The 14943-nt window shown below is 49.3% G+C and overlaps 2 annotated features.

Moving 5' to 3' along the window:
* Positions 7506–8007: an enhancer, noted in NCBI's record as "H3K4me1 hESC enhancer chr19:30235811-30236312 (GRCh37/hg19 assembly coordinates)". NCBI's record gives its function as "activates a minimal SCP1, AML or CMV promoter by ChIP-STARR-seq in primed H9 embryonic stem cells {active_cell/tissue: H9 hESC(primed)}" and the evidence as "EXISTENCE:reporter gene assay evidence [ECO:0000049][PMID:30033119]".
* Positions 8008–8507: an enhancer, noted in NCBI's record as "H3K4me1 hESC enhancer chr19:30236313-30236812 (GRCh37/hg19 assembly coordinates)". NCBI's record gives its function as "activates a minimal SCP1, AML or CMV promoter by ChIP-STARR-seq in primed H9 embryonic stem cells {active_cell/tissue: H9 hESC(primed)}" and the evidence as "EXISTENCE:reporter gene assay evidence [ECO:0000049][PMID:30033119]".

Consider the following 14943-nt stretch of genomic DNA (forward strand, 5'->3'; position numbering starts at 1 on the left):
CGCACTCCCTTCCAGCCTCCTGGCTTGGGACATTTCAGTGTCCTCCACCTTTATACCAAAGACTGTGCCCCTGTCACTATATCCATGTCAGCCTCTAAGCCCCCGGCTCCCAGGACCACATGCCAGGCCCTCTGATGAGCTCCCCAGCCACCCTTCTGTAAGGGTGTGCAGGTCCTGAGCACAGCAGGCACTCAGGCTGGAATAAGGTATGGGGCACCTCTTCCCGACGGCACCCTCAGTCTCTGCATGTGGCTCTCTCTACTGGAATTTGGGAGGCCAGGGCAAGCATCTCCCTTAGGCTCCCCCGACAGCATGGGGAGACCTCAGCCCTCCCACCAGCCTGAGCGGTCCCAAGCTCAGCCGCTAGCCACAAGCCCCAGGTTTGCTGCCCAGGCCCAAGCTACCCACGGGCAGTGAGAAAGGTACCATCTCCCAGAATGGGACCCTCTTGCCTGTGTGGTCAGTGCCCTTTCTCCTGGATACAGACCTTCCTGAGCAGCCAAAACTTCCTTCTCGCCCGACGGGCAAGGAGACCTGAGGATTAACCGCATGCTTAGCAGCTTCCTGGAGGCCCCCCCTTGGAACTGGAAATAGTCCTGGATACCATGATTGAAGCAACTTCAGGCTGTACTGAGCCCACGCCTGGCTCTGGGGTTGCCCTCCTCTGCACCTCCTGTCTGGTCACCTCTTGCTTTTCCTATGCTATGCAGCCAAGCAGGTGACCAGGAAGGCCTCTCACCCAGAAGCCACCTGGCTCCTGCTACCCACTGTGCACTTGTTCCAGGTGCATTCCCAAGGGCCGACTTCCTTGGTTCATTTTGACAAACTTTGAGGTTGCTCGTCATAGCCCTTAAGAATGGAGACAAACACCCTCCCTCCCCCATTTTCCAACCCCCGATGTACACGGGCAAAAAACAGAAGCTCAGAGAGGGTGAGGACTTTCCACAGAGTCACACAGCTGGTGAAGTCGCTGGTCTAAGCCTTTAACTAGGGCCAACTTGACCCTTCACCTGCCTGCCTTTTCCCACCCCTGCCCTCCCTACAGGTGCTGTCTGCATGTAGAATCTTTCAGGCCCAGATTCAGGATGTCCAGCTGAGTGTGGGAAGGGTGGTGTGGTATGGGCCCAGCCACATGGTAGCTGAAAGGCTCTGGGGCCAGGGGGTCCTAGCTCCCAGCCCCGCCCCTTAGAGCCTCACCAGGGACTCAAGTCTATTGACACAAGGGCCAGCACCTGTCACGAGGTCATCTTCCCTAACATATACTTTCATTTAGGGGCAAAGAACTTCTCTTTTTGTTATTTTGCATTAAAATAACCAAGATTCATCCAGACGTGGTGGCTCACACCTGTAATCCCAGAACTTTGGGAGGCTGAGGTTGGAGGATTGCTTGAGTCCAGGAGTTAGAGACCAGCTTGAGCAACATAGTGAGACTCCATCTCTACATAGAATTTTAAAAACTTCCAAAGAATTAAAAAATATATATTAGCCAGGCGTGGTAGCATGTGCCTATAGTCCCAGCTATTGCGAGGCTGAGGATCACTTGAGCCTGGGAGGTCGAGGCTGCAGTGAGCCCTGACTGCACTACTGCACTTTAGCCTGGGAGACAGAGTGAGACCCTGTCTGAAAATAATCAAGATCAACCCTGGACAGAAAGGAATTGCTAGAGTAATACCCTTTGACCTGAAATGCTGTGGGGTCTAAGGTGCTGCCTTCCCCTCCGCCCTGTGTGCTAGTCCTTGTATGTTAAGACTCAGTAGTTCCCCGTATCCCAGTAAAAAGGCAGGGGTGGGATGATGGGTACACTAAAATCCCATTCCCCACCAGCACACAATATACTCAGGTAACAAACATGCGCATGTACCCCTTGAATCTAAACTAAATTAAATTTTAAACAAACGCAAGGGTGTGACCTGGATGGAGTGGTACAGTCATCCCCTGGCACCAAGCAGCCCATTAGCCCAGAATGGTTATCTGATCAGATGCCTGTCTCCTATGGACCTATGGGAGCTGGACACAGGGAAGGAGCCTTTGATGCCGTGGAACAAGGTGGAGGAATTGTCCATGCGAAGTGGCCCCTGAAGAACTGGTACGAAGGGGTTGGCTGCAGTGGTTTGAGAGTCAGGGACTGGGTTGGGGGCCTGGGCCTACAAGGCTTTCTAAGCCCCCTAGGACTGGGGACTTTGTCCTGGATGCTATGGGAGGCCACTGAATGGGGTGGGATAAGGGGCAGGAAGGATGGGTCCACAAGAAAACTGATCAGAGTGACTTTTTTTTTTTTTTTTGACACAAAGGCTTGCTCTGTTGCCAAGCTAGAGTGCAGTGGTGCAATCTCAGCTCGCTGCAACTTCTGACTCCCTGGTTCAAGCAATTGTCCTGCCTCAGCCTCCCGAGTAGCTGGGACTACAGTTGCGTGCCACCACGCCTGGCTAATTTTTGTATTTTCAGTAGAGACAGAGTTTCACCATGTTGGCCAGGATGGACTCGATCTCTTGACGTCATGATCCACCCACCTCAGCCTCCCAAAGTGCTGGGATTACAGATGTGAGCCACGGCACCTGGCCCAGATTGACTTTTAAAAGCAGGACCCAGGGCCGGGTGCAGTGGCTCACACCTGTAATCCCAGCAGTTTGGGAGGCTGAGGCGGGCAGATCACTTGAGGTCAGGAGTTTGAGACCAGCCTGGCAAACATGGTGAAAACCCGTCTCTACTAAAAATACAAAAATTAGCCGGGTGTGGTGGCGCGTGCCTATAGTCTCAGCTACTCAGGAGGCTGAGGCAGGAGAATTGTTTGAACCCGGGAGGTGGAGGCTGCAGTGAGCCAAAATCACATCACTGCACTCCAGCCTGGGCGAAAGAGTGAGGCTTCATCTCAAAAAATAAAAATAAAAATAAAAAATGAAATAAAAAATTCTGGCCAATAAAACAACAACAAAAAAGATCCTGGAACCCTTCTTTCTCCTTCTTGCTCCCTCTCTTGCCACATGACATGCCTGCTCCTCCTTCCCCTTCTGCCACGAATGGAAGTTTCCTGAGGCCTCACCAGGAGCAGGTGCTGGTGTCACGCTTCTTGTACAGCCTGCAGAACCGTGAACTAAATCAACCTCTTTTCTTTTTAAATCACTCAGCCTCCAGTATTTCTTTATGGCAATACAAAATGGACTCAGACACTCCTTGATCTCAAACGTCCCAGCTTTCAGAACGGTGAAGCATAACTGTTCATTGTTCAAGCCCTGGCTCATGGTATTTTGTTATGGTGGCCTGAGCTAATACAGGAGGCCGGCTGGGGGCCTGGCCCTTGAGAGATGGGGGAGGCTTAGAGCACAGCGGCAGGGGAGTAGGGAAGAAGCAGACAGGGTAGAAGACACATTCTGTAGTGACAGACCCACTCACTGGTTATGGTCTGGAGACTGGGATGGAAGAAAAAGGACCTCAGGAATGACTGCCAGGTTTCTGGGCTTGAGCTACAGGGGAGGTGGAGACACTATGTCCTGGGCAAGGAGTTTTGTTGTGGAAGTTCCAGCTCTGGAGCACTCCAGCCTTTAGAGGTCTGGTTAAGGAGAAGCCCAAGAGGTGGGAGGAAGACAGGAGGGTGGAGAGTCACTGAGACTGGTGCACAGTGTCTCCAGAAGCACGGAGCACCCCCTTTCAATGGCAACCTGGCTTTGTAGGACTTTTGACACGCTTACCCCCACCGGCTTTCCCCGCGCCTGCATGGCCTCTCTAACCATCCACATCCATGGTGAGGGTCCCTCCCTTGCCTGCCATTGCTCCATCCACCCAGTCCCCAACTCGGTAGATTTGTATTGTGTCCATCCTTTGAGGCTCTCCTCCACTCCCCCAGCTCCTGTCTCAGAGTCCCCCAGCCTCTTGGGTCCCCCTCTGTGTCTTGTGTAAGAGCTGAGTGTGCTCTTGTCTGTTTCCCAGGAGGTGAGCTCCTCACGTACAGGGGTCGCGCTGCCTCCTCCTCTGACTCCCTGGCTCTGAGCGAAGGCTCTGGCATCTGTAGCCATGAGAGGAATGTTTGCCGAGTGACCCCATGAGCGAGTGATGCCAGCATAAAGGCCAGTGCACCCAAGGCTGGCCCAAAATATCCTCTGGCAACCAGAGCCGCCCCGCCGGGGGATGCATTCTGCCTTTGAAAGTAGTGAGTAGCACATCCTTACAGGTACCCAAGAGGAGAAGGATTGGACACTATTCAGGGTGGAAATGGATGAGGGGATCCCTGCGATGGGGGAGAGGGTCTGACTACCCATCCCCTAAGGACAGTCCCTGGTCTGGGGCCTCCCAGCCTGAGAACGAGGCAGGAGCCACCACCATCGGAAGCTGTCAGATTCACAGTCATAATTCCAGAGTGTGACACTTAGTTAATCTGAAAATATTTGCTAACCTATTATGAATAACAATATTTGCAGCTTAAAATGCTTACCCTCCATAGCTCCAGAGTGTGAAGATGTGCTTCTACCCAGACAAAGATGTACTCACTACTATCCGAGCAAATTGACACAGGGAGCTTATGAGCCTAATTGTTGGCATCTCAGGCTGATTTGCGTCCCCTGGGGCCACTCTGATAACTTGGCTAAACAAATACAGGAGGTGCTGTAGGGACAGGCTCACAGGGCCAGAGGGCTCCATGGAGCCGGATGACGGGGAAGTATTTCAGGCCTCTCACCAGAACCTCCTGCTATGCTCTGAATGTCTGTGTCCTCCCAAAATTCATATGTTGAAATCCTAATTCCCTACGTGAGGGTATTAGGAGGTGGGGCCTTTGAAGGTGATTAGGTCATGAGAGCAGAGCCCACAGTAATGGGGTGAGTGCCCTTATATAAAGGACCCCAGGCTGGTTGTGGTGGCTCATGCCTGTAATCCCAGCACTTTGGGAGGCTGAGGCGGGAGGATCACTTGAGGCCAGGAGTTCAAGACCAGCCTGAGCAACATAGCAAGACCTCATCTTTAAAAATATATATATAAATAAATAAGTAAAAAGGATATCAGAGAGCTCTTTGCCCCTTTTCTGCCATGTGAAGATACAATATGAAGTCTGCAATCTGTAACCTGAGAGATGGGGTTTCACCATGTTGGCCAGGATGATCTTGAACTCCTGACCTCAAGTGATCCACCTGTCTCGTCCTCCCAAAGTACTGAGATTACAGGTGTGAGCCACCACTAAATTTCTGTTTCTGATAAGCCACTCAGTCTACGGTACTTTGTCAAAATAGCCTGAACAGACTAAGGTACCCCCCTCACCCCATCTCATCACAGAGTCTCTGGACTTTTTTTCTTGGCTGCCTATATGGTTCTTAGGGTCATCTTCACAGTCAGCTACGGGGTGTGGCCAGGCCCCGTGGGTATGTGGTTAAGGTCATTGGCTAACATGGATGACCAAGGCCATTGCAGTTCCCAGACACTGAGAGGCTCCACACACTTGTGGATGGGGGTCTGTCTTTCCTGAGGAAGGGTCAATGGCCAGCTCGAGGCTGTGTCCACAGATAAAGATGTTTGCACAGAATGTGGAGCCCAGAGGAGACAAGGATCTATCAAGGGCCTCCCAGGAGCTTGTGCCAGAATGTGCAACTCAAGCCAGTGTTGGCATGAAGGAAACTTGGCGTAACTGCAGAGACCACGGCTTCTTCAGAGCCTCACATCTCCTGTGTTGGTGCCATCGCAGCTGCACAGCCCCCAGCCCTAACACCCAGGACACCTGAAGCAAGAGCCCTTTCCTGTGGCTCCAGCTGAAATCCAGGGGCCCCTTTCTCTCCCTAGCCCAATTCATGCCCCCTCTAAACCTTTGCTGTGGCCAGGGTTTAGAGGGGGCATTGCTGGCCCCACCCAAGAGGCAAGGTCTGAAAGTGGAGAAAGACGGATTCCCCAAGACTAGCTGGGATGCTCTTACAAGAATGACAGAAAAGAGATGCTGGGGCTGGATGCAGTGGCTCACACCTGTAATCCCAGCATTTTGGGAGGCCAAGATGGGTGGATCACCTGAGGTCAGGAGTTCGAGACCAGCCTGGTCAACATGGTGAAACCCCATCTCTACTAAAAATACAAAAATTAGTCGGGTCTGATGGCAGGCGCCTGTAATCACAGCTACTTGGGAGGCTGAGGCACGAGAATCACTTGAACCCGGGAAGTGGAGGTTGCAGTGAGCTGAGATAGTGCCACTGTACTCCCACTGGGGCAACAGAGTGAGACTCCGTCGAAGAAAGAAAAAAAAAAGAAAAGAAAAAAGAAAAAAGAGATGCTGGGCAGGAGAAAAGCCTCCCTTGAGGGAAAAGAGAAGGAAAGGACCAACTGCCTTGGCCCATTCAGTGATCTGGCCATGAAACCAGGGGCTGGCTGAAATGTCATTGTCCAAGAAAAGGTGCTGGCTGTGCACAGTAGCTCATACCTGTAATCTCTGCACTTTGGGAGGTTGAGGCAGGCAGATTGCTTAAGCCCAGGAGTTTGAGACAAGTCTGGGCAACATAGCAAGACTCTGTCTCTACAAAAAATAAAAAAAAGTAGCTGGGTGTGATGGTGCACACCTGTTGTCTCAGCTACTCCAAAGGCTGGGGTAGGAAGATCACTCAAGCCCAGGATATTGAGACTGCAGTGAGCTATGATTGCACCACTGCACTCCAGCCTGGGCAACAGAACAAGACCCTGACTCTTAAAAAAAATTTTTTTTAAAAAAGAGAGGTGCTGGTGACCATGATAGACAGCGATTCAGAGCAGAGAGAGAGGAGGCCCAAATAGCTTAGTCCTGTCCACAGTGGCAGAGGAAATGGGAGAATTAAGGCAATTTCAATGAAAACAACAATTTTAAAAAAAATGCCCCACCCAATGCTTATACCTCAATTATCTAGATTTGCTCAAGCAGGAATTATCAGAATAACTTAGGAAAAGCTTCTTTTGGGAGTAAGGACAAGAGGGCAATCGTGGCCAGGCACGGCAGCTCATGCCTGTAATCCTAGTACTTTGGGAGGCTAAGGTGGGTGGATCACTTGAGATCCAATCATTTGAGATGAGGAGTTCAAGACCAGCCTGGGCAATAGGGTGAGACACTGTCTCTACTAAAAATACAAACAATTCTCCAGGCATGGTGGCACATGCCTGTAGTTCCAGCTACTGGGGAGCCTGAGGCACGAGAATCACTTGAATCTAAGAGCCTAGATGGTGCCACTGCACTCCAGCTTGGGTGACAGAGCAAGATCTGTCTCAAACAAACAAACAAACAAAAAAAACCAAAGGATGACTGACCTGTGTCAACATCCAGAGTTCCCATCTCAGCTATGTGCACAGGAAGGGCCAGTCTTTCTCCTTTACTCTCATTCACTCTACAGATGCCTACCGGGTACCTGCCAGGTGGGCCAGGCCCTGTTCTCACCACTGCTCTGAATGGTCACCACAGAGAATGGTCTCCCTCCTCTCAGGGAGCCCATGTTCTGCTTGGGGAAGGCAGCCAACAAGATCTAAAGCGTCGCTGAGTGACAGGGACATGTCCTGTGAAATGCATGGAGAGGTGATGTTGTCATTGTGTGGACGTCACAGAGTGCACTACACAAACCTGGATGGGGTTGCCTACTGCACATCTAGACTGCATGGTGTGGCCTGTGGCTCCTAGACCACAGACCCAGACAGCACGTTACTGCGCTGAATGCCGCAGGCAGCTGGAACCCAGTGGTTAAGTATCTGTGTACCTAAACAAATCTCAACTTAGAAAAGGTACAGTAAAAATATAGTATTATCATTGATGGGACCACTGTCACCACTGCACACTGCCTTTGACCCAAACATTATTCGGTGCATGGCCATCGATGATGGAGATTGCGATTCGTGTACTGGAGAAAATAAAGCGAGGTGGGCTGAGAGTGGGAGGCCCGCAGGGCAGGGCACTTTGGATCAGGTTGTCAGGAAATGCCTCCCCGAAGAGGGCGCATTTGCAATTAAAGCCAAGTGACAAGAAAAAACTGCCATGCACAGATCTGGGGTCTAGAGGGTGGGGCAGGAGGGACAACAAGAGCAAAGGCACTGGGGACGGAAGGGCTTCATGGGCAGTGGGAGCCCCACGGGAGCCCCCTAGGTCTGGCTTGCAAGCTCTCTGGCCCTCTGCTGGACACCCCAGAGCAAGCCAGCCCCTGCCTGGGACTCCCTGAACACACTGCCCCCAGAGAACCACAGGCAGAGGGACTGGCTCACCTGAGTTCCACAGGAAAGACAGACTGTCCTGAGAACAGACACTCGCTCATTTTCATCACTGTTCCTCAAACAAGTAGATTTTGTTTTAAAGCAAACAAATAAACAGCGTTGTCAAGTTGGTCAAGTTTGTTGTTTCTTACCCAAACTTCCCCTTTAAATCTTCGGCAGGACAGAGGAGGACCCTGGGCTTCTTGTCAATTCTCTGACTTCAAGGAAGAGTCTGATCAACCCAGGCTCACTCGCAGGCTTGAAAGGGGCCTCTAGCGAGGCCAGGGTGGGAGCAGAGACCGTAACAAGGCCTTTTTTTGTTGTTGTTTTTTGAGGCAGCATCTCACTCCGTCACCCAGGCTCAAGTGCAGTGGCACAGTCTCGGCTCACTGCAACCTCCGCCTCCCAGGTTCAAGAGATTCTCTTGCCTCAGCCTCCTGAGTAGGTGGGACTACAGGCCCATGCCACCACACCTGGCTGATTTTTGTATTTTTAGTAGAGACGGAGTTTCACCACGTTGGCCAGGCTGCTCTCAATCTCCTCACCTCAAGTGATCCACCCACCTCGGCCCCCCAAGGTCCTGGGATTATAGGCGTGAGCCACCGCGCCTGGCCATGTATCTTTTTTGTTATTTGTAATTGTCACTTGTCTAGTGTTTTGGTGCGCACATTTACAGAACGAAGCCTGCTGAAAAGCTTTAAAGTACAGCACACTAATGATTCCTGAGATATAGGTATAGGTCTCTCTCTCTCCCCGTTTGTCTGTCTGTCTATCTATCTATCTATCTATCTATCTATCTATCTATCATCTATCTATCTAATCTGTCATCGAGAGAGTGATTGTAGATAGAGGCACAGATACAGATACAGAAACTGGAAGCTATTTTCTGAAAATAGAGTGGCATCCACCACTGTGGTCCATGGTGATGCAGCCCTGCGGGTGGGTCTGGGGACATTAGCAGGCAGGGCAGGAAGAGTCTGGGAGCCAGGGAGCCTTCCCCAGACCTCTAGCATCCACCCCCAGGCTTTTCCACTGCACTGTCGACACTGAAGGTCAAGTTATGCCCCAGACTCCTACTGCTGGAGGGGCTTGGGCCATATTCCCAGGGCCAGTGAGGCCAGGAAGCCAGTACTTCCGTTAGCTAAGAAGTCACCAGGCACAGGACCCCAAGGCTCAGGGGCACTCGCCAGTGATGGCTGCAGGGAAGGTAGGAGACGCACAGCAGCAGGCCACTGGGCCGGGCTCCTATACCACCTGGAGGAGATGTGACAGCCTCACTTCCAGGAGCCTGGCCCTGGCCAGCAGCGTCTGTGGTCCTTTGGCAGGCAGCTAGATGTGGCCACTTTGCAGGTGGCCTTTCATAGCACCTAGAATGCCCCTGCTCACTCATCTGTGAAGCAAGGACGCCACTCTCACTCTGCCTGTCTTGCTGTCACTCAACACTCAACAGGCATTGGGCACGGTGGCTTACACCTGTAATCCTGGCGCTTTGGGAGGCCAAGTCAGGAGGATCTCTTGAGGTCAGGAGGTCAAGACCAGCCTGGGCAACGCAGTGAGACGCCATCTCTACCAAAAAATAAAAGTAAAATTAGCCTGGTGTGGTGGTGCACACCTGTAGCCCCAGCTGCTCAGGAGGCTGAAGTGGGAGGATTGCTTGAGCCCAGAAGGTTAAGGCTGCAGTGAGCTACTATCACGCCACTGCACTCCAGCCTGGGGACACAGTCCGATCCTGTCTCAAATAAATAAATTAATTAAATAAAAGAAAAAATAGGCCAGACATGGGGCTCATGCTTGTAATCCCAGCACTTTGGGAGGCTGAGGTGAGTGGATCAGGCACCCGTCACCTGAGGCCCAGGCATGAGGCACCCATCACCACGCCCAGCTAATTTTCTATTTTTAGTAGAGATGGGGTTTCACCATGTTGGTGGTGGGCTACGTTCCCAGGGCCAGAACTCCTCACCTGAGGTCATGAGTTCTACACCAGCCTAGCCTGGGGTCAGATTGCTTGAGTTTGAGAGAGCCTGGGCAACGTGGTCAGACCCTGTCTCAAATTTAAAAAAATAAAAATAAAAAACATTCAACATATATGTTTGGAGCACCTACTATGTGCCAGGCCTCAAGGTCATGAGAAACAAAGGTGGATGAATGATTCGAAGACCCGCCTCTGGCCTCCCCAGCACTGACAGGGTGGGCTTATGAAAGGGCTTCTAGACTGCTCACCGGCCTGCACGTGGGACACGGAACCTCCTCTGGGACATGGAGCCTACTCTGAGGGCAGAGATTGAGCATGGTTTACAGCAGGTGTGCCACCCTCCAAGCCAGAACAGGGCCTAATGAAAATCCCATGCTGAAATATTTCTGTATTTTGTAAGGAATATTCAGTGTCACAAGAATGTGAGGCTGTGGGGTCAGATCGTTTCATCCAGCTTCTGGCACAATTCAGTGTTCTTGGGGGAGACCCGGGAGGTTTAGGAATAGAAAATGGATGGGACTGGCTGGGCGCAGTGGCTCACACCTGTAATCTCAGCATTCTGGGAGGCTGAGGCAGGTGCATCACCTGAGGTCAGGAGTTCGAGACCAGCCTAGCCAACATGGTGAAACCCCAACTCTACTAAAAATAGAAAAGTAGCTGGGTGTGGTGATGGGTGCCTGTAATCCCAACTACTCAGGAGGCTAAGGCAGGAGAATCACTTGAACCTGGGAGGTGGAAGTTGCAGTGAGCTGAGATTGTGACATTGCACTCCAGCCTGGGCTACAAGAGCAAAACTCCATTTCAAAAGAAAGAAAGAAAGGAAGAAAGGAAGAAAGAAAGAAAGAAAGAAAGAAAGAAAGAAAGAAAGAAAGAAAGAAAGAAAGAAAGAAGGAAAGAAAAAGAGAGAGAAAGAAAGGAAAGAAAAGAAAGAAAAGAAAGAAGGGAAGAAAGAAAGAAAGAGAGAGAAAGAAAGAAAGAAAAAGAAAGAAAGAAAAAGAAAGAAAGAAAGAAAAAAGAAAGAAAGAAAGAAGGAAAGAAAAAGAGAAAGAAAGGAAAGAAAAGAAAGAAAAGAAAGAAGGGAAGAAAGAAAGAAAGAGAGAGAAAGAAAGAAAGAAAAAGAAAAGAAAGAAAGAAAGAAAGAAAGAAAGAAAGAAAGAAAGAAAGAAAGAAAGAAAGAAAAGAAAGAAAATGGATAGGACTAAACCAACTTAAAGGTCTTTTTGGAGTCCAAAGATTCTCCAAGTCTCACCCTTCTTTCCCTGTCCAGAAAGGCTGATTCCAGCCAGGTGTGGTGGCTCATGCCTGTAATCCCAGCACTTTGGGAGGCTAAGGTGGGAGGATTGCTTGAGCCCAGGAGTTGAAGACCAACCTGGGCAACATAGGGATACCCCATCTCTATGATTTAAAAGATAAAAATAAAAATGCTGGTTCCTGATGGCCCAACCTTGCCTGTTCACACCAGCTCTGGGCCTGTCCCCCATGGACCAAGCTCTGGATTCCTTGAAGGCCACCAGTCTCCAGCCTCCAGTCCAGGGTCACTGTTCCTAAGGGCGTGCCCAGCCTGACCAGATCCTCATGTGAGGGAGGCACAGGGACAATGTTCCAGGATGGGCCCTTATGCCTGCTGGTGATGTCAGTGACAAGCCCAGGGCTCAGCCTGCCTCTGTGTCCTTCTCCAGGTGGGTTTGGGCAGCCTGGACCAGAGGGTGCAATGAGCTTGTCTGACCCCATCTGTGCCGGGAGGGCGGGGGCCTGCATTGTAAGTCTGGCCGTGGGGGCCCTCAGTTTCTGTCCTGTATTTTTACATTCTAATTATTTCATATATGGCCTTCTGATGGACTCATTTACTGGGAAGCTAAAGATACCCTTCAATGTCTAAAAATAAACCTGAACTGCTAAAAATTCAGCATTTCTCTCCCTCGCTTCCACCAGCTGGGCCTGTCTGCTTTTACTCCAACACCATCAGGAGCTACAAACAAGATTTACAAAAGCCAGCAAGTTTACACGGGCCTGAATAGCAGATTCTCTTTTATCTTCAATTTGACAAAACATTTTGGGGTTGTTATTATTGAGGCTTTCTTTTCTTTTCTTTCTTTCTGTCCTTTGTTTCCTTCCTTCCTTCCTTTTTCTTTCTTTCTTTTCTTTCTTTCTTTCTTTCTTTCTTCCTCTTCCTCTTCTTTCTTCCTTTTTCTTTCTTTCTCTTTCTTTTCTTTCTTTCCTTTCTTCTTCCCTTTATTCTTTTTTTCTATCACTTCTTCTGCTCCTTTAGTCTAGTATTTAGGAAAACTTTCGTCCAAATGCAAGCTTCCAAGATGTTCTCCCTCTGGTCTGCCACACCTCCTTTTCTTACTTCAATTATTTTAAGACACTCTCCCAATTTCTATGAGTACCATGCGGATGGCCTGAAGGCCAGTTAAGAATAAACCTGCTAAACCAATAAATTACATTCACTCTTATTTCCAGAGGAACGCTTTTACATAAATATCTGCCATAGAAATAAATCAGATAAATTAATAAGAACTCCCTCCTCTCCTCAAACCAAACAGTGAACAGTAATGGTTATCAGACCAGTTAAAAGAATAAACCTATTAAATAAATAAATTTGCTCTACGCCAATTTATGTCACCAATGTACTTAAGGGGAAACCTTTTAAAAGAGTAGATTTACAGTGCACACACAGATCTCCACTGGGTATGTGTAATTATGCATAAGAAAGACATTACTTTTAAAGTGGATGAATGGGCGATACTTTTTTGATTTACTGCTAGAAACAGAAAAATGGTAATGGCATGAAATAAGCGTTTGCAAACCCATTTCGGAAGACAGGAAATGCTTGATTTACCTAGGGCACCCATCAGGTTCTGTATTTCAGATCAAAGTAGATAAATGGTAAGGCAAATGGATATTTGGGGGGAAATCTATAGCCTTTCTGTCAACTCTGCAAGTTAAATGTTTGGAATAAAAACGCAGAGAGTGTCTATATGCAAGGAAGAAGTCATGATTTATTAGCAATCGGGCAAATGGAAGTGGGCAGTGCTTACCTGGAAGGTGAGGATTTCTCAGATACGAGGGCTGTGGGCTGTGTCCACAATTCCTGATGTTTTTAGCTATGAAATCTGGTGGCCAGCTGGTCCTTCTCACCCACCCCAAGCCACCTAACAGCTGCCCTGAATGCTGTTCTTGTTCTAACCTCTTACTTGCACTTTATTTTATTTTATATTTATTTTTATTTTTTGAGACAGAGTCTCGCTCTGTCGCCCAGGCTAGAGTGCAATGGAGTGATCTCGGCTCACTACAACCTCTGCCTCCCAGGTTCAAGCAATTCTCTTGCCTCAGCCTCCCAAGTAGCTGGGATTACAGGCATCTGCCACCACACCTAGCTAATTTTTTTTTATTTTTAGTAGAGACGGAGTTTCACCATGTTGGCCAGGCTGGTCTCAAACTCCTGACCTCAAGTGATCTGCCTGTCTCAGCTTCCCAAAGTGTTGGGATTACAGGTGTGAGCCACTGCACCCAGCCTCTTACTTGCACTTTAAAACCCTGCCTGCGACACCACCCATCAAAAGAAAAAGATGGACGCTATTTAAGGTGGTTGGACATTGTTTTCATGGAGGCTACATGGAGCTACGGGCCCTAGTCAATGTCATGTCTGAGCCTTTGTTGAACACCAACTGTACATTAACCTGTGTTGGTTATGGCTCACAGTGTTCTACAAGATCTTCATACAAGTCAGTATCTTCCAAAGCAGAGAGTAATGTCTACACACAAATTTACCCAGTATTCCAGGAGCCACATCTACACTCAAATAGAGAATTGAAAGTGGAGCCCAAGGCTGGGCACAGTGGCTCACGCCCGTAATCCCAGCACTTTGAGAGCCTGAGGCGGGTGGATCACTTGAGGTCAGGAGTTCGAGACCAGCCTGGCCAATACGGTGAAACCCATTCTCTACTAAAAATACAAAAATTAGCCAGGCGTGGTGGTGTGCGCCTGTAGCTCCAGCTACTTGGGAGGCTGAGGCAGAAGAATCACTTGAACCCAGGAAGCAGAGGTTGCAGTGAGCTGAGATCACACCACTGAACTCCAGCCTGGGTGACAGAGTGAGACTCTGTCTAAAAAAAACACAAAACAAAACAAACAAACAAAACAAAGACAGTGGATCACAAATCTTGCGTTCCTAAATGCAACCCTCCCTTCCTGAATTAACTAAGCCATCTTAGCAACTATATCCTCTGTGGGTTTTACCTGTTTGGACACAGGGACATGTGCCCAGAGTCAAAGTTAAACAGGTTGGGATCATGGCCCCAATTTTTTTTTTTTTTTTTGAGACAGGGTCTCACCCTGTCACTCAGGCTGGAGTGCAGCGGCACGATCTCCGCTTACTGCAATCCCCACCTCCCGGGCTCAAGCAATCCTCCTGCCTCAGCCTCCTGAGTAGCTAGGACTACAGGCGTGCACCACATGCCCAGCTATATGGGCCAGATTTCCATCTCAGCTCTGTTAGTCTCTAGCTAGATCACACTTTCTCTCCAAGTCTCAGTTTCCACATCTCCCAAATTGGTATAATCATCTCTGAGCCTGTGATGGTTAAATGAGATAATATATTTAAAAAACTTAACAATGTTGCACAGTCAGTAAATAGTGACAATTACCGTGTTGCTTTTTTTTTTCATCATCAGGGAGAAATGCAAAGAGTGCTGACCAGGTGACGGGCTAGGTGCCCAGCCCTGTGCTAGGTGCTCTGAGGACTGAGAGATGGAAACCACAGGGCTCTGCCTCAGGGAAATTACATTTGCTCTTGTACACGAGAA

The sequence above is a fragment of the Homo sapiens genome, chromosome 19, assembly GCF_000001405.40.
Source record: "Homo sapiens chromosome 19, GRCh38.p14 Primary Assembly".
Lineage (NCBI taxonomy): Eukaryota > Metazoa > Chordata > Mammalia > Primates > Hominidae > Homo > Homo sapiens.